The following is a 25,420-nucleotide window of genomic DNA, read 5'->3' as shown; positions in this document are numbered from 1 at the left end:
ATTACAACATGAGCTAAGTTATTAGTAAGAGTAATTCCCTCAATGGAGGGAGAATATGCACCATTCACATTGTTAGGACTAAACTACCCTTTAATTCTGTCTTCCTACAGGCTAGGGGTTGAGGCCCTGGTCAATCAGAGACCCCGGGGACGCCCTACTCACTGTCGGGACCTCGGTGCTGTGATACTTTTTCACTTGATGCTTGAGTGGTGGGCAAGGAAGCTGTCTCTGGGAGCGTCAGAAAGTTGAAGACTGAGTACTTGTCACGCTTCACTCTTGGTAAGCCAACTAAAGTTGAACTGGGAATTGAAAAAAGAATCATTTTAGTAACAACCAGTAGGACAAAATCCACCTCCTGAAAAGCTTTCCATCTCAAGTTTTCCACCTCTTCTGCATGACTAAAAAGTCTCCTAAGATGCTTTCACTTCTCAAAGCAGTTCGAGAATCTGGGTGACTGATTTTAGGTCCCATGAGATTTTCCTTATTATGATAAGGACAAGAATTTAACTTTCAAAATGGATTTCCATTAAGGAAAAGCTCCACTGATAAAAATATACCTAAAGTTTCTGACAGTCTCTGGTTTGACCACATATGCTATCTTTTTGTTTTGTTTTTTTTTCTCTTGAGATTGAGTCTCGCCTTGTCACCCAGGCTAGAGTGCAATGGCACAATCTTGGCTCACTGCAACCTCCGCCTCCCAGGTTCAAGCAATTCTCCTGCATCAGCCTCCCAAATAGCTGGGACTATAGGCACGCACCACCACGCCCAGCTAATTTTTTGTATTTTTAGTAGAGACGGGGTTTCACCATGTTGGTCAGGCTGGTCTTGAACTCCTGACCTCAAGTGATCTGCCTGCCTCAGTCTCCCAAAATACAGGGATTACAGGCGTGAGCCATTGCACCCGGCCTACTATCTTGAAGTGTTCTGTTTGTTTGTTTGTTTGTTTGATTTTTTAGAGATGGGGTCTTACTATGTTACCCGGGCTGGCCTCGAACTCCTGGGCTCAAGCGATCCTCCTGCCTTGGCCTCCCAAGCTAGGATTACAAGTGTGCACCACCACACCCCACCTCTTGAAGTGTTATTAATCAAATAAGAAAGTGTTTAACTTTTATAATGATAATTTAAAAACATAAGTAACATTATAAATGTAAACCACATGAGCAGCAACAAGAAGGTGGCAAATGAGAGAGGCATAATGCTTTTGTAACTTGACATATCTGAGTTTCATAGCTTCAATATGGAATAAAGTTTGCTATCCAGATTTTGTTTTAGTAACAAATTATAGAAGTAATTTATCAAAGCAAATCTATAAAATGTGTAGATTTGTATATCCAGTGATATGCAAATAAGTTCATGTAGAAAAAATAAGAATTTATATGAGTATGTAAGGGGAAAATTAGCTTTAATATCAAGAATACATTTTGTACTGATGTAAAGGTTTATCCAACTTACTCTGGATAAGGGTCAGGGACATTAAATCTCTTACATAGAAGCTTGTCAGGGTGCCACTCAAACGTGTCTCGGGTGAGCTTCCCAAACATCTTCATCTTCACAGCCGACTGCTTATCCCCGACATCATTCTGGAAAAAGACATGCATTCTGTTCCATCAAGTGGCCGCACCACTGACCTGACTGCTCTCCCATTTAAAATTTTCAAGCAATCTTCTAGAACTGTGAAAAAAGTTTGTGCTATAACATTTATGCTCCAGTACATTGGAAACTAAGGCATAAAATGGTTTCCTATTCTCCTATACATGTATATTTTGATCTTCTCACCAAGGGATTAAAAATATTTGGCTCGGCCGGGCATGGTGGCTCATGCCTGTAATCCTAGTACTTTGAGAGGCCGAGGCGGGTGGATCACCTGAGGTCAGGAGTTCAAGACCAGCCTGGCCAATATGGTGAAACCCCATCTCTACTAAAAATACAAAAATTAGATGGCTGTTGTGGCGAGCGCCTGTAATCCCAGCTACTTGGAAGGCTGAGGCAGGAGAATCGCTTGAACCCAGGAAGCGGAGGCTGCAGTGAGCCGAGATCACACCACTGCACTCTAGCCTGGGCGACAGAGAGAGACTCCGTCTCAAAAAAAAGGAAAAAACTATTTTGGCTAGGCAGTGCTTTAATATTAAAGTTCACCAGGTAAGGGACATGGTGACAACAGACCTCTTGGTCTCGAGGGACTTCAACCTGATCTGAGTCATCCTCCTCCTTGGCGTGAGTGAACCTGGAGGACAAGGTCGAATGGGAAGATGCGTACAGCAGGGCCGCCCGGGCAAACTCATCCCGCTCACGGCCTCGCTCCCACTCTGTCATGCTGGGGTCCAGACAGCGTTCCAGAGCATCTGCGGGGGCAGAGAACAAGAAGCAGCTTCACTTTTCAGGAAAACATGGGGCTTACAAGAGAACATCTGCTGGGCACCACTGTATCCCTGTATATTTCATAAGTCCTTATCCTTGTTTTTATGACTATGGGAATGGTGAGGTATTTGGCAGGTAATATTGCTGTTTCCTTCAAAATTGTGCTTTTTTAAAAAAAATTTAGGCCAGGCGCAGTTGTTCATGCCTGTAATCCCAGCACTTTGGGAGGCCGAGGCGGGTGGGTCACTTGAGGTCAGGAGTTCGGGACCAGCCTGGCAAACATGGTGAAACCCCATCTCTCTTTTTTTTTTTTTTTTTTTTTCTGAGATGGAGTCTCACTCTGTCTCCCAGGCTGGAGTGCAGTGGCATGATCTCTGCTTACTGCAAGCTCCGCCTCCCACGTTCACACCATTCTCCTGCCTCAGTCTCCCGAGTAGCTGGGACTACAGGCGTCCGCCACCATGCCCGGCTAATTTTTTGTATTTTTAGTAGAGACGGGAAACAAAAAATTACCAGGCGTGGTGGCACATACCTATAGTCCCAGCTGCTCAGAAGGCTGAGGCAGGATAATCACTTGAACCTGGGAGGTGGAGGTTGCAGTGAGCTGAGATTGCAGTGAGCCAAGATCCTGACACTGCACTCCAGCCTGGGCAACAGAGCAAGACTCCGTTCAAAAAAATAAATAAAATATGATGTGTGTATATATATATATAATATATTTTATATATACATATATATCTTTTTTTTTTTGGTAGAGGCAGGATCTCACTATGTTGCCCAGGCTGGTCTTGAACTCCTAGGCTAAAGCGATCCTCATCTCAGCCTCCCAAAGTACTTGGATTACAGGCATGAGCCACCATCCCCAGCCAAAATGATGCTTTTATTGAATTCTGTCTACCAAACATAACAGAGAAAACCATTTGAGAGGCTAATGGTTGGTTAAATCTTCAGCAGTAAGGAACTTGTCACCACTCCCAGGCAGTGATAAGTTCACCTCAACCACATCCCTATGTTTTGGCAGAAAAACACTCTTTCACTAACCGTTTTTTTTTTTTAAAGCAAATAAACATTAGTGATGTAGGTTCTTAGTAGAGAGTTAAGGCACAGTAAATAGACTTTACATTCCGCAAAGATCTGTTTTTAAAAAACAACCCTGTAATTTACTGATAACCTCTCACGAGGACTACTGCATACAACAGCAACCCCTTTCCTCATTCTTGCCTCATTCTTGCCCTATTTACTTCACAGATCACAAAGTGATTGTTTTCCCTCTGTAACGGTTCAATAGCTAACTATTGTTTTAAGTCATATTTTAGACTATGAGTCAGGAATGGATGGTTAGGATCTTCGGATGAGGTGGAAGATGATGCTGATATGAAATGTGAATGCAATGCTTGTAGCAGTCAAGCACTTGCAAACACCAAACGGCCTGTAAGTACCGGCCACCGCCAGCTGTGTTCTCTACTTAAACAGCTAGCTTTGGCCTGAGATATGGAGGAACATAAGCCAACTGTTCTTGCTTTCTGAGGTCAAGAGCCAAGGCCTGAAACCTTTGCACTATTTGCAGCAGGATAAAGCAAAAACACTGACAGAACAGGATACCTCAACTGTAAATATGGGTCTAGGATGAGAACAGTGAGAATATGACCCCGCCCGGGCCGAGATTTGGGACACCCAGGCCCAGCACCCACCTTTCTGACCCTGTTTCATGTGTACTAAGAACTCGTCGTATCGCTTTTGCTTTTCCGGATCTTTGGCGAAAGGCTTGAAGTTGCTGGCTTTTAAGGTGGCCGTCCCACCACCTAATGCCATGTTCCAAGAGCAGTGCCCAGCAGCCGCTGCAGGGGAGAGCTGGGCTCTGCTGCTCTGAGCGTTCTGGGCCAGACTCCTGGCCTTGAGCTGAGCTGCTTTCAGGTCAGTTGCCTGCTTCATTTCTTTGATTCTCTCTTTGTCTTTTTGGGACAGAAATTCTAACACTGAAGTAGCTGAACCTAAATAAAAACAGTAATTAGAAGAGATGAAAAGAGCCATGAGACAACCACATTTACGTTTCTCTGTACATACATTTCAATAACACAAATTTACATAATTGGGGATGAGGATTTTATGTTTAGTGTTTCATTTATATTAATATGTCCCTGTGGACTAGACAGTGATAAAAATTGAGATTCTTCTTCTTATTATTATTATTATTTTAGATGGAGTCTCGCTCTATTGCCCAGCCTGGAGTGCAATGGTACCATCTCAGCTCACTGCAACCTCCTGGGTTCAAGCAATTCTCCTGTCTCATCCCCACCGAGTAGCCGGGACTACAGGCATGTGCCACAATGCCTGGCTAATTTTTTATATTTTTAGTAGAGACAGGGTCTCATCATGTCGGCCAGGTTGGTCTCAAACTCCTGACCTCAGGTGATCCACCCGCCTCGGCCTCCCAAAGTGCTGGGATTACAGGCGTGAGCCACCACGCCTGGCCAATTCCTATGTTTTTTTTGAGACATGGTCTCGCTGTGTCACCTGGACTGGAGTACGGTGGTGTGATCATGGCTCACTGCAACCTCCACCTCTCAGGCTCAAGTGATCCTCCCACCTCAGCCTCCTGAGTAGCTGGGACCACAGGTACACACCACCATGCCCGACTACTTTTTGTATTTTTTGTAGACGGGATTACGCCATGTTTCCCAAGCTGGTCTCAACTCCTGGGCTCAAGAGATCATCCCACCTTGGCCTCCCAAAGTTCTGGGACTACAGGCATGAGCCACTGTGTCCAGCCAAGATTCCTGTTTTATAGTCAGCAAAAATGGAAGTTAATACATGCACACTTACAGGGCACGTGAGTGATTCCAGGATGGGGAACCTGACATCCCCGGCTCCAGACCTGCAGTCCACCACCACTAGCCCTGGTTCCGAGTACAGCTCCCCAGCAAGCCCTCACCAATGGGACAAACACTCATGAGTGCCAGCTCTATGCCAGGACCTGGCCCAGGAGCTTGGAGGGCAGTGGAGACACGAAAGAAGCCCAGGAGCAATACGCTGGCCCTCAATAGAGGAGGGCTATGAAAAAAACAGGACGATGTGACTGAGGGGGGCTTGTGTGAGCGGGCTGGTAGAGGGGACAGGCAGATAACCAGATTATATGGTGGTCGGGGAAGGCTGGAAGAAAGTAACATTCGAGATAAGTCATAAGCTAAAAAAAAAAAGAGCCAGATTCACAAAAATATGAGGGAAGAACAGAAAGGGAGGTACAGCAAACACAAAGGCCCTTAGGCAGTGTCATGGATGACGGCGTGTTCCAGGGGAGGAAAGGAGGAGGAAGACGCTACACTGTGGGAGGGTAAGGGAAGGTGGTGGATGGTGCAGCCTGAAAGGCGGGCAGGGGCGGGGCCGCACAGGGCCTCGTGGGGAGCCTGGAGGTTTCTGTAGGTGGGAGAGGTGTTGGCTGGTATAGTTGGCCTCATCCAGCTGCTGGTGAGGGGAACAGTCTACGGGAGATGGACAGGAAACAAGGAGACCACCAAGGAGACTGCAGCAACGGTCCAGGTGGAGGGGTGGGGCTCAGACCCGGGAGGCCACGGAAATGCAGATGAGTAGTGGACAGAACCCCCACACGTGTGGGTAGAGCCGAGAGGACTCACTAAGGGCCAAGGAGGGTCAGGGAGGGTGCGGGAGGACCGAAAAGAGAGGAGCTAAGAATTAGGCCTCCCGGGGAAGCGGGGAGGGATAGCATTAGGAGATATACCTTATGTAAATGACGAGTTAATAGGTGCAGCACACGAACGTGGCACATGTATACACATGTAACAAACCTGCACGTTGTGCACATGTACCCTAGAACTTAAAGTATAATAAAAAAAAATAAAAATTAAAAATTAAGAAAAAAAAAAGAATTAGGCCTCCTACATCCTGGTCCGAGCAGTGGATCATGGTGGCACCACTTCCTGAGATGAGAAGACTTAGATGAGGAAGCGCAGTGTGTGATGGGGGTGGGGAACCAAGGGTTCTGTTTGCCAATTATACGAGACACCTATTGAGTTCCCCATGGCAGTGAGACCCGAGCCCCTAAGAGTCCAAGTCCACCTCTCATGGTGGGACTTTCCTGCTGCACCCTGCAGGGGATTCTCCATGTCTTTCCAGACTTTCAGACACATTCATCCCTTTCAGACTTTCGGGAGAAGAGTTACACAATGCGATCCCCAGGAGGAAGAAAACATACTCTCCCAGGCTGTGCAGAGAAGGGGAAGGCACCTTAACCACATTCCCTGATAATTATGACAAGTCTGAAAACAGCTGAGCTTACAACAAAAGTTGTGATTTGAATGACATCAACCAAACTGAAGGTGGAAAAACAAGCCTTGGCTGGGCGCAGAGGCTCACACCTGTAATCCCAGCACTTTGGGAAGCCAGAAGTTCCAGACCAGCCTGGGCAACATAGTGAGACCCTCATCTCTATTTAAAAAATGTGCCAGGTGTGGTGGTGGCACATGCCTATAGTCCCAGCAACATGGGAGTCTGAGGTGGGAGGAACGCTTGAACCCAGGAGTTCCAGGTTATAGAGAGTTACCACTGCCTTCAGCCTGGGTGACAGACCTAGACATTATCTCAAAATAAATAAGTTTAAAAATAAAACTTAAAAAAAGAAGTAAAAGATATGCACACTATTATGTATGCCATTTACAATAAATAGTGGTATTTCCACAGTTTGGGAATACAAATTCATGTAAAAAACTTCAGTGGGAAAACAACAACTTTCCATTTTGATTTTGATAACTCGAATTATGTGAAATGATTTCCGTCTTCTCCATGGCACATACCTTGAATAGGCGTCTCTCCAAGCAACTCAGCCCGTTTGGAGGCATTCAGTTGGTGCTTACTGTGTGTCCCTGGGTCAGGCGTTGCCTTTCCAGCTGACTCTGATAATACCTGCAGTAAGTGTGAGTTCTCGGAGGTGGCGGCCACCATGGGTCTGAAATAATGCACTGGTCGATAGTCTCTTGGCAGCTCTGGAGGTGGATAGATCTTAACAAACCAAGACAAAACCCAGAAAATACAGGCTGCAAGATCATGTTTGATTTAATCAGGAAAACCTGTTACCTCTGAGCCTTGTTAACCCCGCCCCTTCCCGGGTTAACACTCAGCAGGCAGGTAGCACAAGAACAGGCTGGCCAGAGGTCCAGCCAGCATCCCCTCTGGACCTGGAGGGTCACAAGAGCCACCGTGTTCCAGTGGTCAGGCATTTCGAATATCCTCCCACCCATTTCTACAGAAAGAAGCTAATGTGCCTGTTTTATAGGATAAGAACTATAAAGATGACAATAGATCATAAATGTCAGGGCCTACAGGTAGGGCTGGCCCACTGTACATCAGAAAATTTAGAAAAAGTACCATTCAAAGCATGGAGGAAAATAATGGCTGGGCGCAGTGGCTCACACCTATAATCCCAGCACTCTGGGAGGCCAAGATGGGAGGACTGCTTGAGCCTGGGAGTTCATGACGAGCCTGGGCAACAGAATGAGACCCCATCTCTATAAAACTAAAAAAAAAATTTTTTTAAATAATAGTTGGGGCCGGGAACAGTGGATCATGCCTGTAATCCCAGCATGTTGGGAGACCAAGGCGGGTGGATCACCTGAGATCAGGAGTTCAAGACCAGCCTGGCCAATATGGTGAAACCCCATCTCTACTAAAAATACAAAAATTAGCCAGGCGTGGTAGCGCACACCTGTAATCTCAGCTACTCGGGGGTGCTGAGGCAGGAGAGTCGCGTAAACCCGGGAGGCAGAGGTCGCAGTGAGCTGAGATTGCGCCACTGCACCCCGGTGCAGAGCTGAAACAGAGCGAGACTCCGTCTCAAACAAAAAAAAAAGAAAGACAAATAAATAATAATAATAGCTGGGCACAGTGGCTCATGCCTATAATCCCAGCACTTTGGGAGGACAAGGTAGGCAGATCACTTAAGGTCAAGAGTTCAAGACCAGCCTGGCCAACATGGTGAAACCCCGTCTCTACTAAAAATACAAAAATTAGCCAGGTGTGGTGGTGGATGCCTGTAATCCCAGCTACTTGGAAGGCTGAGGCAGGAGAATTGCTTGAGCCTGGGAAGCAGAGGTTGCAGTGAGCTGAGATCGCACCACTGCACTCCAGCCTGGGTGACAGAGTGAGACTCCATCTCAAAAATAATAATTAATAATAATAATAACTGTAGTTATTTTTAAATTCATAATTATTTTTTCTAGTTATGTTTCAGTTGCAAATTGAAGCTTCGGGCTTTCTTTTTTCTTTTTCTTTTTTTTTTTTTTTTTGAGACAGAGTCTTGCTCTGTCATCCAGGCTGCAGTGCAGTGGTGCAATCTCAGCTCTGGGTATGCAATTCTCCTGCCTCAGCCTCCCAAGTAGCAGGAATTACAGGCACGCATCACCATGCCTGGCTAATTTTTGTATTTTTAGTAGAGACGGGGTTTCACCATGTTGGCCAGGCTGGTCTCAAACTCCTGACCTCAAATGATCCACCCGCCTCAGCCTCCCAATGTGCTGGAATTACAGGCGTAAGCCACCACGCCTGGCCTATTTTTTCATCCAAGATATTACTATGAATAATGTGAGTAGAGCCAAGAGGACCTGGCCCAGGAGCTAGGAGGGGAGTGGGGACAGGAATTTAAAAACTTTAATTTAAAAGTTGACGGAAGTGAAATGAAAATCTGTTTGGGAAATTTGGGGATTTTTAACACTGACAGGCATGAATGATGGCACAGCAGACAAGGTAAAGGAAAGTACTAAATATTGTTAAATAACTGCATTAAATGGTCTCCCTTGCTCTTGGTCTAACAAATCCACACGTGTTTGTTATTTAAGCTATTTTCTAGACTTTTCTTTACTATTTTTTTCCCCCAAATTCACACTGAAATATTCTCTAGATTTTTAAGCTACATGAAAGCTGAAGTCCATGATGAAGTAACCCTGTGGCTGAAAGCACTGACCCCTCTCTCCCGGCCCCTCTCTCCGCTGGCTCTCAGGTCCAGGTGCATGCTGGACTCGCCTGAGGAGTTGTAACTATACTGATGCCTGCGCCCCACCCCAGAGAGTCTGCTATAACTGGAGTTCCCCAAGCTCCCCAGGTGGTTGTTAAAATACACAGCCTGGGTCAAGCCCCTGGCACAATGAAAGTCCATGAAAGAGTGGTGTTATCATTGTCAAGAAATCCTGTTTTTTTATCATCTTAGCTTCATCACCTTCTGGAGACACACCCCCAAATCAGCCAGAAAACACTCTCATGTTACCACCACACAAAAACCCAGAGGAACATGGCAGAAAGGAGGAGTGTGTCCACAACTTCTCTATATCCTCCATGGGATTCAAAGTATTTCTTTCTTTTTTTTGAGACAGGGTCTCACTCTGTTGCCCAGGCTGGAGTGCAGCAGCCAATCACAGCTCACTGCAGCCTGGACCTCCCAGGCTCAAGCAATCCTCCCACCTCAGGCCCCCAAGAGGCTAGGACTACAGGCACATACCACCACACCCAGCTAATTTTTTTTTTTTTTTGTATTTTTTGTAGAGATGGGGTTTCACCATGTTGCCCAGGCTGGTCTCAAACTCCTGGACTCTAGCGATCTGCCCGCATTGGCCTCCCAAAGTGCTAGGATTACAGGCGTAAGCCACCATGCCCAGTCTTGGATTGAAAGTATTTCTCTCTGTCTGTCTGCCAAATCATTGTTCTGTTTGACCTCTAGATTCAGATCTAGAGAACCATCTAAATCTGTGTGTGAAAGGCTAGATGAACACAGCCCTCCTCTGAAGTGTTCCTGCCCAAAGCCCTACTCCAGAGAAGCGCCAGGAACCCCCAGGACTGTGTCTCTCCACTTAGGGATGTTTGCCCACGACTCTGTATTTGTGTATCTGCTACCTTTGTTGGATGGGAGCTACCTGGGGCCAGGCTGGCCTATTTATCCTAAGGACCAGTGAGTGCTTCTCCATCATTTTTAAACTATGCTTCCTTTTCTTTTTTTTTCTTTTTTTGAGATGGAGTCTTGCTCTGTCACCCAGGCTAGACGTGCAGTGGCACAATCTTGGCTCACTGCAACCTCCACCTTCCAGGCTCAAGTAATTCTCCTGCCTCAGCCTCCCAAGTAGCTGGGTTTACAGACACGTACCACCATGCCTGGCTAATTTTTGTATTTTTAGTAGAGGTGGGGTTTCGCCATGTTGGCCAGGTTGGTCTCGAACTCCTGACCTCAAGTGATCCATCCGCCTCAGCCTCCCAAAGTGTTGGGATTATAGGTGTGAGCCACCGTGCCCGGCCTTATGCTTCCTTTTCATACATGTAAAACACCTGCATTTTCCTTTAATGTTATTTGACATTTCTGGTAATAATAGCAGCTTACTGTATGCCCGACACTGTCCTAGATATATTCTGCTGGCTATCACAACACATGAACTATCACAATGAAACAAATCAAAACTGTCCCCTGGCCTCCCGTGTCCCAGACAAGCACAGGCCAATCCTTAGAGGTACTGAACAAATGTTTGCTGAATAAAAAACAAAAAGCTGATTAAAGCGTGAAACAATCTAAAACAGGAATGCTGACAAGGCAGATGGCCAGACACCCCTCCTGGGCTGGCCAGCACCCTAACTCCCTCCTGAGTGTGCCTGTGAGCATGTGACTTTGGTGGTGACAGGAAGAGCGCCATGTGGCCTAAGAGCTTCACATGTGGCTGTGACAGCATCTCACAAAAACAAAGCAATCTGCAAAGGCACGCAGAGCTCTCCTCCAACTTCACCCACCTGCACACGGCTTCTCTCCCTTCTGCTCGGCCCCAGCTGAGGAGGCCAGGGAACCTTGCCCCTGCTAGCTTCAGAGCATGGGGAGGAACCAGGGCTATGGGTTATCCAGCTTTCTGAATGTTTTCTACTTTTCCTTAACCTACATTTCCCCTAGAATCATAGCAATTTCATTCTCTTTCTAATGTATGTCTCTTTTCATGTAAATAACCACTCACTTGAAGTTTGAATTTGAAATATTAGCGGCCGGGCGCGGTGGCTCACGCCTGTAATTCCAGCACTTTGGGAGGCTGAGGCAGGCGGATCACAAGGTCAGGAGTTCAAGACCAGCCTGACCAACATGGTGAAACCCCATCTCTACTAAAAATACAAAGATTAGCCAGCCGTGGTGGTGCACGCCTGTAATCCCAGCTACTCAGGAGGATGAGGCAGGAGAATCGCTTGAATTTGGGAGGCGGAGGTTGCGGTGAGCTGAGATTGCATCACTACACTGCAGCCTGGGTGACAGAACAAGACTCCATCTCAAAAAAAAAAAAAAAAATAGAAATTAGATATTTTTATCACAATGTAGCTACTGACTGATATTTCTTTTCTTTTCTTTTCGATACGGAGTTTTGCTCTTGTCGCCCAAGCTGGAGTGCAATGGTGCGATCTTGGCTCGCTGCAACCTCTGCCACCCAGGTTCAAGCAATTCTCCCTGCCTCAGCCTCCCGAGTAACTGGGATTACAGGCGCCCACCACCACACCTAGCTAATTTTTGTATTTTTAGTAGAGATGGGGTTTTGCCATATTGACCAGGGTGGTCTCAAACTCCTAACCTCAGGTGATCTGCCAACCTTGGCCTCCCAAAGTGCTGGGATTACAGGCGTGAGCCACCACGCCTGGCCAACTGATTTTTTTTTTTTTTTTTTGAGACAGAGTTTTACGTGTTGTCCAGGCTGGAGTGCAGTGGTGTGATCTTGGCTCACTGTAACCTCCACCTCCTGGGTTCAAGTGATTCTCCCACCTCAGCCTCCCTAGTAGCTGGGATTACAGGCATGCGACACCACGTGCGGCTAATTTTGTATTTTTAGTAGAGACGGGGTTTCTCCATGTTGGTCAGGCTGGTCTTAAACTCCCGACCTCAGGTGATCCACCCACCTTGGCCTCCCAAAGTGCTGGGATTACAGGTATGAGCCACTGCGCCTCGCCCTGGTATTTCTAATGTAGAATGTTTTTCTAGACAATCACTAGTAACCAGGCTGTTGTTTTTTGAAAACAGAATTTACTTATCTTTCCTGTTGTTAATAGAACTCAGATCACATAGCAGCAAATATTTTAAGAACTAAACCAGTAAAAAAAGAAAGAAAAAAAGTTTTTCTTACTTTCTTAGAAGATAAAGGTTTAGAAGCCAAGGAAAATCCATCCAAAATTTTGCCAACGTACCGAAGGTCTTTCTCTGATTCTACAAAATGATGTCATAGATTAATTCCAGAAGTAGAGATGATTAGAATAAGACAGAACACATCAGCATTTTACGTTCTTATCTCTAAGAACATAAATAGTACGTGTCATACATGCTATCACTCAACAGCAGCAGTAAAGGGAAGAACAAGTGGTAAGCAAAGCCCCACACCTCTGTTGACTCAGTGACTAAGGCCCGGCCCACACCGCCCTGGACAGATTGGGCTACCCAGGTCACAAGGCTGTGGTCCTCCAAGACAAGCATATTGACGTGATTTTTAGAAGAAGTACCTTAGGGGCACCAAAGGATATACCCCGTGGAGTAAAAGATCAAGAAAAACCACCAAAAGGACAAGCATGGAGGAAAATACAAATCACAACTGTGAGAGCGTCATGTGTAAAACTAGGTGAAGAACTACAGGGTGACTACCTGGCCATCTCCTTAGCAACAATCCAAATAGGGATGAAAGGCAATGCCACCAGGTCAGCCTGTAATCTTTAACAAGACATAAAGATCACAGACATAGGAAACTGAATGACCAATGCCCTCTGACCTGGAGGTGGGGATCGTCTTCTGGTCATAGAGACAACCCCACCAACAAAAGCTCTTTGATTTGATTCTCAAGGTTTTCCTGCACGTACTGGTTACGCCAAAAGTCCGTATAAATGAACTGTATTCTCTGCACTCAAAAGCCCCTTCTGAAAAAAAAAAAAAGCCCCTTCTACATGACCATCAAAAGCTCTTTCACAGGCTAGGAGCTCAGGCCTGAAGCAGGAACAGCAAGCAGTGCAGATGAGCTAAGGCTTTTAGCCACTCATCATTCAGCACCACCACATCTCTCCCCTCCCCACAAAACCATTCTTTGTGCTTTGACTCCTGTTGGGCTTTTTTTTTTTTTTTTTTTTTTTGAGATGGAGTCTCGCTCTGTCACCAGGCTAGAGTACAGTGGCACAATCTTGGCTCACTGCAACCTCTGCCTCCTGGGTTCAAGTGATTCTCGTGCCTCAGCCTCCCGAGTAGCTGGCATTACAGGCATGTGCCACCACACCCAGCTAATTTTTGTATTTTTAGTAGAGACGAGGTTTTACCATGTTGGCCAGGATGGTCTCGATCTCCTGACCTCGTGATCTGCCTGCCTCAGCCTCCCAAAGTGCTGGGATTACAGGTGTAAGCCAATGCACCTGGCATGTTGGGCTTTTTTTAAAGCTTCTAGAACTTACTAAAATTTCTTCAGGTAATGTGGGATTCAATTTCACATTCTTGGAACTTGTATTATCTCAAAACCCAGAAATTTCATGTTTATGAGTTCATTCTGAAGAATTCTGAAGAAATAAACAAATGTACATAAAGACAGAATCAGAAAAATATTCATTATAGCCCTATTGATCATGGAAAAAAAAAATGAGAATTTAAAAATCAACCATGGCCAGCCATGGTAGCTCACGCCTGTAATTCCAGCACTCTGGGAGGCCGAGGCGGGCGGATCACCTGAGGTCGGGAGTTCAAGACCAGCCTGGCCAACATGATGAAACTCCATCTCTACTAAAAACACAAAAATTAGCTGGGCGTGGTAGCAGGCGCCTGTAATCCCAGCTCCTTGGGAGGCTGAGGCAGGAGAATTGCTTGAACCCGGGAGGCATAGGCTGTGGTGAGCCAAGATCAGGCCATTACACTCCAGCCTGGGCAACAAGAGGGAAATTCCTTCTTCAAAAAAAAAAAAAAAAAAAAATTAGCTGGGCGTGGTGGTGCACACCTGTAATCCCAGTTACTCAGGAGGCTGAGGCAAGAGAATCGCTTGAACCCGGGGGACGGAGGTTGCAGTGAGCCGAGATCATGCCACTGCTCTCCAGCCTGGGTGACAGAGTGAGACTCTGTCTCAAAAAAAAAAAATTTAAAAATGTAAAAAATCAACCGTGGAGACTAGGTAAAATAAAGATAGATTCACCGAATAGAAAATCATACAGTCAAAACTACAGATGCTGTGACCCTGCAGGGGGGGAGAGAGGAAGCTGGGGGAGAGAGGCCACAGCAGAGAGGGACAAGGACAGGCTCGGAGCTCAGTGGAAGGAGTGAGAACCAATCAGCTGGGGGCAAAGCTGGTGCACGAGGGAAAAGTGAAAGATGTGGTTCAGCAGGCGGACTTAAATATATGTCATTACATATCATTAATTATTAAAGGATTGATATATTGTTATTAATATGTTGTATATTAAATATCATTTATATTAACAGATATAGGATATTATCAATTTCATACTCCCACCACTTTTAATAAATAATGAATAATTAAAATAGATCAATACATTACTATGTAATAATGTATTGGTATGTTACATAATATACCAATAGTATTGATATATTAATTATATAAAATATAAATCATATACAATATATAATGGTATATTGATTATAATATAGTATTAAAATTAAATAGTATATTATGATATATTAATATATCTTCATTTAAGTTATATAAAAATAATCCATAGTTTGGGGACAGAAATCAGAAACTATAGGGAGGCAAAAGGAAGAAGGCTCAGAAGCTAAATGACTCAGGGGAAAAAAAAAGAAAAACATTGGAAGGAAAAAAAAAAGGAAGTAAGTACTAGCAGCCCACTGACCACCCGGAGGTTAAGTCTCCTAACACTGGGTACACATGCCCTTCCAGTGTCCTGTGTAAAACCCTGGGTTCCCTGTCATACCATCCCAGTCAAGTGACACATGACTGTATGATAACCAAAGAATAGTAGGTGCCACTTCTTCAGTCTTTGGGACAGGTGCTTTGCCAGACACTGAGTTATGCCACTTAATCCTCACAACCACCTCTGGAGTGGATTTTATCCTCACTTTACAAATGTGGACTCCAATGCCCAGAGAGGTTATGAGCCTTGCCTAAGGTCACAAAGCTGGGCAATGGAGAGCTGGCATCCAAACCCAGGTCTGACTGACTCCAAATCACATGCTGCTAATACCGACTCTACACTGTCTGGCCCTGCACCTTTTCTGGAAACAACTGAAATGTGACTTCAAACCACAGGATCTGATTCACCTTGAAATTTCAACACAGCATGAAGTTAAAGTTGTGTTGAGAGATGTCAGCCTCTTATCCCAACAAGAGCCTCCTCAGAGCCAGGGACTCAAGGGAGAAGACGGACTGGGCGCCCAGCTCCATCTTGCTGCAGGCTGTTGGTGTACCTGCCTCCTGGTCCCCTGGCTTGACCTTCTGACCTGCTGCATGTGTTGGCCTCCTTTGGCCACCTGCCCAGTTCCTCGAGCTCTGGGTGCTTCCCTTTGACCCACTGCCAGCTCTGACCAGCCATGTGGTCACTGGTCCAGGCATTCCTCTTTCCCTGATTACAGACCTCTCCCTCCCTCCCACCTGGGCCCCACCTTGACAGCTGGCTTTGGCCTTGGCCAGGTCTGAATCCTGCATTTGTTTCACTTCCCATGCTGGGCCTCGCTTCTTTGTTTTGTTTCTTACCGTGACTTTGACCAACAACAGAGGCTGGTGCTCCTGTATCGCTCTTGCAGCCCCTCCTTCCTGATACCCTGACACTTGGTCCTGCCATTAGGTTTGTGGCTGTCGAATTACCTTTCTGGTTTTTATACTGCCTGGGTGCTGTCCAGCCATAGAGTCCGTCTCCAGGCTCCTCGTCCTTCAGAACAGTGTCATACTTGGATAGAGTTTCTGTGGCATAGATATCATCATCTTCCTCTTCCAGGGCACCTACACCAAAAGCCTTTAAAAAAACAAGGTTTCAAACTGAGCACAGGTGTTAGGGTATGTCTGGGATCTTCAGGGATAAAGCTACTTTAAGGATGTGATTGGAAACCATGTTAGCACTTCAAGATCACCAAGAGAGAAGTGAACGGGGGTCCCAGATCGACCAACACACACACAAGTTTTCTGGAAAACAGTGACCAGAGGTGAATGCCATGTCCCTACTGCCAACACTGCCCTCCAGTCCCCACAACAGCCATGGCTCCAGGTCCCAGCACAGGAAGAGGAGTGGAGAACAAAGCCAAGCAGCAGTGCAGGGGTGGAAATGTGGCTTCCAAGAGGAGAAAGGAAGAAATGTTCATCAACTGATCAATGCGGCCTGGGCCAACGCTGGTGGCTGGGGTCTAAGGGCCGCTGCTACTCTACTGCCCGCTGGAAGAACTCCTACTCTCTGCGGAAAGGAGCCTCTAACAAGTAGCATTTTTGTTTAAAAGACTGAAAAAAAAACACGTTTATAAAAAGAAAAGGTGGGCCGGGCGCAGTGGCTCACGCCTGTAATCCCAGCACTTTGGGAGGCCGAGGCGGGTGGATCACCTGAGGTCAGGAGTTCAAGACCAGCCTGACCAACATGGAGAAACCCCATCTCTACTAAAAATACAAAATTAGCCGGGGTGGTGGCGCATGCCTGTAATCTCAGCTAGTCAGGTGGCTGAGGCAGGAGAATCGCTTCAACCCGGGAGGTGGAGGTTGCGGTGAGCCGAGATCGCGCCATTGCACTCCAGCCTGGGCAACAAGAGTCAAACTCTGTCTCAAAAAAAAAAGAAAGAAAGAAAGAAAGAAAAGGTGGCCAGGCGCAGTGGCTCATGCCTGTAATCCTAGCACTTTGGGAGGCCGAGGCAGGTGGATCATCTGAAGTCAGGAGTTCGAGACCAGCCTGGCCAACATGGTGAAACCCCGTCTCTACTAAAAATACAAAAATTAGTGGGGCATGGTGGCACATGCCTATAATCCCAGCTATTCAGGAGGCTGAGGCAGGAGAATCACTTGAACCCAGGAGACAGAGGTTGCAGTAAGCCAAGATCGCACCACTGCACTCCAGCCTGGGTAACAGAGCGAAACCCCGTCTCAAAAAAAAACAGAAATGGTAATAATGAAATGGCAAAGTCACCATTTTAAAAATGCATTTTAAGAAAGAATCTTTGACCTGATTCCACTTGAGGATTAGGGGGAAAAAAAAAGAAAATAAAGAACCTCTAAAAAGAAGAAAGAAAGAAAGTAGACTCATTTATCAATGACTCCCCCTTTATAAAATAGAAAATAATTTTACCTGGCCTGAAATTCCCAATTTTCTTCCTTTATTCAGTCCAATTTCTCCAAGATCGCCAGCTCTCTCAGAACCACCACTGAAAAGATTAAAATGTTCTCCCGAAGTTCCAAACAGTGCCTGGTGGGGATCCAGGCCCTTGTAAGCTAGACCATGCACATTATCTTTAGGTGTGAAATCCACAGGTGTGACATCTTTGGGTGCAAAGGTCACATTATCAGGCAAGTAGTCATCATCTTCACCCTATTTCCGTTTAAAGTGGAATTAAGGTGAGTCACTGAAGGATGCAAAGTAAACCCACAAAATACTAATTGAAAACGCAGTGATTAATGCCACACAGAACAATTAGCAAACTTTCATTGGTGCTGTTATAAATGACTAAATCACTTTCTGGCACAAAGGATGCTAACACCAACTCCATTTTATGAAGCTGAACAGACCTGGGTATCTGTGGTGCTGGCATGTTGCTGAATATGTATGCTGATATAATGAGGATAGCTTTAGGGTATGAGTATTTAACTGTATAGTTATTGGATCTGATTTCTAAAATTGTCTCCAACCAAATTTCACAGTCATACAGAAACAGGTGCTGTTGTACCAAAGTGAAGGTCAGTCACACCATGCAATACCTCAGATCCTTCCGAGCTTCCAGGGGGTAATGCACAGCCATAGATTTTGACTCCAGGATCTAGAAAAGAGATTTCAAATGCAATAGTCATGAGTGACTACAAATAGAAAACCCCGACCAGGCCGGGCGCGGTGGATCACACCTGTAATCCCAGCACTCTGGGAGGCTGAGGTGAGAGGATCGCTTGAGCCCAGGAGTTCAAGACCAGCCTGGGTAACATAGTGAGATTCCGCCTCCACAAAAAATTTAAAAAAAAAAAGGCTGGGCGCAGCGGCTCATGCCTGTAATCCCAGTACTTTGGGAGGCTGAGGCGGGGTGGATCACAAGGTCGGGAGTTGGAGACCAGCCTGACCAACATGGAGAAACCCCGTCTCTACAAAAAATACAAAAAAAATAGCCAGGCATGGTGGCGCAAGCCTGTAATCCCAGCTACTCAGGAGGCTGAGGCAGGAGAATCGCTTGAACCGGGAAGCAGAGGTTGCAGTGAGCCGAGATCGCGCATTGTACTTCAGCCTGGGCAACAAGAGCGAAACTCCATCTCAAAAAAAAAAAAAAAAAAAAAAACCTCACTGATAACTCTTCAGAGGTACATGGGTACATTTATAAAATGTGCTACAGCATTACGGTGAGAGGAAGATAACTGGGAATTGTTTTAGAAACAGGGTCTCGCCCTGTCACCCAGGCTGAAGTACAGTGGCATGATCATAGCTCACTGTAGCCTCAACCTTCTGGACTAAAGCCATCCTCCCACCTCACTCTCCTGAGTCGTAGCTGGGACTACAGGTGCGCTCCACCACACCTGGCTAATTTTGGTATATTTGGTAGAGGCAGGGTTTCACCGTGTTGCCCAGGCTGGTCTCAAACACCTGGGCTCAAAGATAATCTCACCTCAGCATCCCAAAGTGCCAGGATTATGGGTATGAGTCACTGCACCCAGCCAGGAATCATTTTCTACCAGCACCTGCCCTACCTAGCAGTAATGTGCTCAATGAGTAACCAATACTGCCCCACAGCATAAGGAACCCAAAAGAAATGACTGTTACCCTCAAAGAGTCACTTACAGTCTGGCTGGGGAGACTCAGGGCAAGAAATAAGGAACAAGTAATAATGTTAAACTGTGACAGCTTGGGGGAGGGTAGGAAACATGAACTCTCACATGCTGCTGGCAGAAGCATAAACTAGCACAGCCTTTCTGGAAGCTGTCATGCATTACACATAAAAAGCCTTAGAAGACACACATACCACTGGGCCCAGCTATTTCGTTTATTGGAATTTGCTCAGGCAATCCTCAGCCTGGGCCTGGGCAACATGGCAAAACCCCGTCTCTACAAAAAATACAAAAAATTAGCCTGGCGCAGTGGCACATGCCTGTGGTCCCAGCTACTTGCGGGGCTAACGTGGAAGGATCACTTGAGCCCGGGAGGTCAAGGCTGCAGTATGCCGGGATCGCACCACTGCACTCCAGCCTGGGCGACAGAGCAAGACCCTGTCTCAAAAAAAAAAAAAAAGTACGCTGCAGCAGTGATAACAGTTAATCAATTAACATACACACCAGGTTTCTGTCGGCGTGGCCGTCTCTTTACTCGAGGACCAACTCCTTGTCCTTCTTTCCAACCCATTTTTCTTAGCAATTCGAAACCAACAGATAATCTAGGATAGCAAGGCATTGAAAATGAACTTTTCAAAATAACATTAACAAAGAATATGAAATAAGCGGCTTCTGAGTTCCTGCTCAGTTCCTAGGCCTGTCTTGCCTGGGCCCTTGCCCTCACCCACATTACATCTGGCGTGACCCTGCCATTCCAGCCACAGCAGGCTGCACTGGGGTGCACACCTGAACTGGGGAAGTCAATCAGATGACCTTTCTCCTGGGCCTTTACGATGGGATCACAGGGACTCTAGACAGTCTTTGCTAAGCATGTGGCCTGGGAATCCCTGAAGGTCTAAGGCTGCCATATCAGGCCACAAGCCCAGGAGCACAAGGAGATACACAGAAAGTGAGGGTAGAAGGAGGCAGACAGAGGCGAGGCTATAAGGTCTGGAGGGGTGGTGGGAGAAGTCACTGTAATTCCTAACAGCTCTCCAGCCTCTGAGAGCCCCAGCAGCACAGCTAGTGGCTGGAGTTCTTAATCTCTCCGTGCAATGACAGTGCAAGATCCTTTACGCAAAACCCCCTTTTTCACTTAGACTTTGAGCCTAAGAAGGCTTGTCTCACTTGCAATCAAACTATCCCTCAGCAAGAGAATCACACATATGCAAAACACCGGTGCTAAGATCATGACAGTCAGAAGGAAATGCTCACTTTGCTGGCGTTATGAGGTCATCAAGGAGGGTGGCTCCAGGAATAGGGGCAGTAGCAGCGGCCAACTGCCTAGCCTTTTCTCGTATTCTGTCTTTGGTTTTGGAGGCAAAATCGTCTGTGGTGACAATCGCTTTAGGTGCTATCCCAAATTCACTAAGATCCTTCAAAAAAATTCAAACAGAATTACATTATTTGGAAAGTGACTATACACAATACATCACATAGTTTTATTTCTGTTAAAAAAAAAAAGTTAAAACTACAAAATTTAGTTCTGGATCAGCAGAGTGACAGACATACACACTGACTTTATTTTTTATTTATTTATTTTTTTGAGACAGAGTTTCTCTCTTGTTGCCCAGGCCGGAGTGCAGTGGTGCAATCTGGGCTCACTGCAACCTCCGCCTCCCGGGTTCAAGTGATTCTCCTGCCTCAGCCTCCCAAGTAGCTGGGATTACAGGCACACACCACCATGCCTGGCTAGCTGTTTGTTTTTAGTATAGATGGGGTTTCACTATGTTGGTCAGGCTGGTCTCGAACTCCTGACCTCAGGTGATCCACCCGCCTCAGCCTCCCAAAGTGCTGGGATTACAGGCATGAGCCACCGTGCCCCGCCTCACACTGACTTTAGAACCTCATCCTCACACAAGGTAAAGCCAGTGGCCAAGGGCAGGGCATGATAGTCGCTGCTCATTAGGGCCACCCCGAGCATGACCAAGCTGGGAAGACAGGAAGTAATGGCCGTGTTCTTCTCGACAGTATCTCAAAGGTCAGCGTGAAAGAGACAAAGCCTGGAGTTCCAGCCAGCAAGCATTCACAAGTGTGAGTGCCAGGCCTAGAGTCAGGTGCCTTTGCCTTTACTGGAGCAGATGTTGCTGGCTGCCTGTCCAACCATTGGCACGTTTCCTCTTTCCTTGCAGAGTCCTGACGTTGTCTAGGCACCTGCCTTCCTCTGCACCGCCACACATTGCAGGAGTGGTACTCCCAGTGTTGGGGAGGCAGGATTATGAAGTGGGGCTTTGTGTCTTATCTAAGCCAGTCATTTTGATCCCACTTTCCTTGCCAGGGACTGCGTTAGGAATGGGCATGTAAAACAATTTGTGCAAGCAAATGTAGAGAAAATTCATGGTAGGACTCATATGAAAGGCTACTTTGCTTTTAAGAAAAGAGACTGCCGGGTGCGGTGGCTCACACCTGTAATCCCAGCACTTTGGGAGGCCGAGGTGGGTGGATCACCTGAGGTCAGGAGTCCGAGACCAGCCTGGCCAATATGGTGAAACCCCGTCTCTACTAAAAATACAAAAATTAGCCAGGCATGGTGGTGCACACGCCTGTAATCCCAGCTACTCGGGGGAAGCTGAGGCAGGAGAATCACTTGAACCTGGCAAGCAGAGGTTGCAGTGAGCCGAGATAGCGCCACTGCACTCCAGCCTGGGCAACAGAGCAAAACTCCGTCTCAGGAAAAAAAAAAAAGAAAAGAAAAGGGACCAAGAGGAAAGTTCTCTTGAACAACGTCATCCTGGATGTGCCACCTGGAACTACTACAGCCATTTTGCAATCATGAGGAGAGGTAGTATAAGGACAAGCTGCCAACAGAAGACTGAGAAGAGAGAGCCTGGGGTCTCAGCACATCTAGACTTCTTGCTACATGAGATATGTTTCCTTCTAGATGATGCTACTCAAAAAAAGAATGAGACTTCCTTCCCTCTTACCTGCAGCCTCGCACATGCTGATATAAATGTTTTATTTAATCTTTTTTTTCCTTCAACTTTTAAGTTCCAGGGTACATGTGCAGGATGTGCAGGTTTGTTACACAGGTAAATGTGTGTCATGGAGGTTTGCTGCACAGATCAACCCATCACCTAGGTATTAAGCCCAGCATGCATTAGCTATTCTTCCTGATGCTCTCCCTCCCTATTTAATCTTTATCATGGGTGAATCCGCGACCAGGTTTTAAGGTAGCAGAAGTTTAATTTTAGTTCAGTCACTCACAGTTCTTTACTGCAGTGTGCCTGAGAGTTACTGTGGAAAGCTGCAGACCCAGCACCATGGATACTGAGCTTTTGAGGCAATAGAGGCTTTACTTTTTTTTTTTTTTTTTTTTTTTTTGAGACGGAGTCTTGCTCTGTCGCCCAGGCTGGAGTGCAGTGGCGCAATCTCAGCTCACTGCAAGCTCTGCCTCCTGGGTTCACGCCATTCTCCTGCCTCAGCCTCCCGAGTAGCTGGGACTACAGGCACCCGCCACCACACCCGGCTAATTTTTTGTATTTTGTTTAGTAGAGACGGGGTTTCACCGTGTTAGCCAGGATGGTCTTGATCTCCTGACCTCGTGATCCGCCTGTCTCGGCCTCCCAAAGTGCTGGGATTACAGGCGTGAGCCACCGCACCCAGCCACGAGGCTTTTCAAGTAAATTGCCTGTATATGACTTTCCCCTTACACTCTTGATTTTAGAAATTGGCCCCAGTATAAAATGCTCCTCCAATGAACAAGACTCTACTGATGTACAGGACACTGCACATCAAATACCTAAAAGATAAAGCCTTACAAACAAAGAGGAAATCGTACATTGGACCTTCTGGGGAGAGAGAAGGCAGTTACAGCAACCAACTAGACCTGTCCCACCAGCTAATTGGCAATTAAAGTTTTGCACACGCACCTCTTCATCCATAAAATCTTCAGGACCAAGAACAGATTTGTCTGCTCTGTTCTGTCGTGAAGACACAAAGGTAGAGGGTGTCCATCCTGAAAAAAAAAGAGTTTAGAACTTTACAATCCTAGAGAGTATTTGGGTCTATGAGTAAATGATTAAATAACATGTATGGACTTGAAATTCCCAATAACTATAAACTCTTAGCTACTTCCCATCTCAGTGCTTATATAGACGTAATTATTCCACATAAATTTCTTATTAATCCCTGTATCCCCTGATGTAAAACTTAGTGGATACATTAAGGTTTCCCCATAAGAAAGTGAAACCAAGAGATATAGAATTACACATTGAAAGTTAAACTGTGAAATGAACACAAGCAGATCTGAGCTGACAGATGCAAGGTCACCTTAAAATGCAGGACGTGAGACCAGCAACCTCCACTGGCATATTAACATATCTAAAGAAATGATGTCATCGCTTCTAGGCCTTTTGGCTAAGATCAAGTGTAAAGATATGATGTCAAGGTGTTTTAATCAGTCAGAGTGGATAAAGAGAGAGTAACAGAAGGAATCCAGGCAACATTCACAGTACCCTGACCAAAGACTCAACCTGGCAGGTCCAAGGGCAGCGGCTCTGCCAGTCCCCCAGTTTCAACAGACACTGGAATCCTGTAACCAATGGCCTTGTTCCCTGACCACGGTTACCGAGCATGTGCCACGTCCACAAACAGGGAATGCTCTGGAGGTCACATATGTCTGTAACCTCTGCACATAAAGTTGTTTAGTTTTCTCTAAGAGGGTTGCACCTCCTTCCTGATTCTCTCCAAGGGCCCTGTGAGCTGAGGCATCTGGGGAAGGTCTACTCTCAGTAGGTGCACCACTGCACTAAAGCCTGGGCGACAGAGTGAGACCCTGTCTCAAAAAATAAATCAATTAATTAAATAAAATGGTAAGGCCGGGCATGGTGGCTCACGCCTGTAATCCCAGCACTTGGGGAAGCTGAGGCGGGTGGAACACTTGAGGTCAGGAGTTCGAGACCAGCCTGAACAACATGGTGAAACCCCATCTCTACTAAAATACAAAAATCAGCCGGGTGTGGTGGCGGGCACCTGTAGTCCTAGCTACTCGGGAGGCTGAGGCAGGAGAATTGCTTGAACCCAGGAGGCGGAGGTTGAAGTGAGCCGAGGTCATGCCATTGCACTCCAGCCTGGGCGACAGAGTGAGACTACATCTCAGGAAAAAAAAAAAAAAATTATAAAAGATCTAGCCCATCTTTTTCTTGATAATTGCTATGTGAATTAATCAGTTCATCTTCCGTGCTCACTATGGCAGCACATATAATAAAATCAGTTCATCTTCCATTCATAACTGAGATATAGAAAGCCATTTCTTCCAGTTCAAAAAAATGCTTCTAGATTAATATATCTTAAAACATACAATACTTTAAACAACTTGGCATTTATAAAAGTACATAACATAAAAGATTTAACTGACTTTTCCCCAGGTAGAGAGCACTGAGGAGCCAGTCTTGCTGTGGTCCCCAGTGTCTGAAGAGGGCACCTGGTGACTCTTCCCTCAGCACTAACGCCATGCTGGCTCCTTAACCTCTCTGACCCTTGGTGGCATCATCTGCAAGATCCCTGTGACACCTGCCCTCCTCACTCACTCAGTCACGAGAGACAGTCAATGATTAACTGAAAGACTCTGTTTAAGAGTATTTCGTGAATGGCAAGACACAATAAAAACCAAAGTCATTATTATCATTTAATCATCTGATTAGGAGGTATGCATTTTTTTACAAAGTGAAAGAAAACTCTTTAACCATAAGGTTGCAATCAATGAACAAGATACAAGTTGACTCTGGAAACATCCAAATATCCAAAGAACACAAGAGGTTACAGTGTATGTTCAGAGAAAGCTGAGCGCAGTGGCTCACACCTGTAATCCCAGCACTTTGGGAGGCCAAGACAGGCGGATCACTTGAGGCCAGGAGTTAGAGACCACACTGGCCAACATAGTGAAACCCTGTCTCTATAAACACAAAAAAAATTAGCTGGGCATGGTGGCAGGCGCCTGTAATTCCACCTACTTGGGAGGCTGAGGCAGGAGAATCGCTTGAACCCGGGAGGCGGAGGTTGCAGTGAGCCAAGATCACACCACTGCCCTCCAGCCTGGGCAACAGTGCAAGACTCCATCGCAAAAAAAAAAAAAAAAGCAAAGGTGGCCG

The 25,420-nt window shown here is 46.1% G+C and overlaps 1 protein-coding gene across 3 annotated transcripts in view, besides 2 other annotated features; it reads right to left on the bottom strand.

Moving 5' to 3' along the window:
• GPATCH1 (G-patch domain containing 1) overlaps nt 1-25,420 on the bottom strand; it is a 49,362-nt gene that overhangs the window by 16,477 nt on the left and 7,465 nt on the right. For 2 of the 3 annotated variants that reach the window (NR_135270.2, NM_018025.3), the window contains exons 3-14: nt 23,201-23,286; nt 20,547-20,707; nt 19,797-19,894; nt 18,246-18,304; nt 17,620-17,859; nt 16,164-16,311; nt 12,492-12,571; nt 7,167-7,371; nt 4,050-4,349; nt 2,164-2,342; nt 1,453-1,580; nt 163-299 (exon numbers count right to left, since the gene is read on the bottom strand). Coding sequence is in view for 2 of the 3 variants with exons in the window: in NM_018025.3 (NP_060495.2) it covers nt 163-299; nt 1,453-1,580; nt 2,164-2,342; nt 4,050-4,349; nt 7,167-7,371; nt 12,492-12,571; nt 16,164-16,311; nt 17,620-17,859; nt 18,246-18,304; nt 19,797-19,894; nt 20,547-20,707; nt 23,201-23,286 (1,821 nt within the window). In the remaining variant the exon portion in view is untranslated. Of the gene's footprint in view, nt 1-162; nt 300-1,452; nt 1,581-2,163; nt 2,343-4,049; nt 4,350-7,166; nt 7,372-12,491; nt 12,572-16,163; nt 16,312-17,619; nt 17,860-18,245; nt 18,305-19,796; nt 19,895-20,546; nt 20,708-23,200; nt 23,287-25,420 lie in introns of those variants that run through there. The other variant, XM_006723255.5, reaches the window with a different exon arrangement.
• Nucleotides 8,139-8,308: an enhancer, noted in NCBI's record as "experimental_51043 CRE fragment used in MPRA reporter constructs". NCBI's record gives its function as "activates a minimal promoter by MPRAs in K562 erythroleukemia cells, with activity observed for both the introgressed and non-introgressed 19:33596749 variant alleles {active_cell/tissue: K562}" and the evidence as "EXISTENCE:reporter gene assay evidence [ECO:0000049][PMID:34662402]".
• Nucleotides 23,738-23,907: an enhancer, noted in NCBI's record as "experimental_51032 CRE fragment used in MPRA reporter constructs". NCBI's record gives its function as "activates a minimal promoter by MPRAs in K562 erythroleukemia cells, with activity observed for both the introgressed and non-introgressed 19:33581150 variant alleles {active_cell/tissue: K562}" and the evidence as "EXISTENCE:reporter gene assay evidence [ECO:0000049][PMID:34662402]".

This window comes from Homo sapiens, chromosome 19 (genome assembly GCF_000001405.40).
Source record: "Homo sapiens chromosome 19, GRCh38.p14 Primary Assembly".
Lineage (NCBI taxonomy): Eukaryota > Metazoa > Chordata > Mammalia > Primates > Hominidae > Homo > Homo sapiens.
This window is presented reverse-complemented; position numbering and strand designations above follow the sequence as displayed.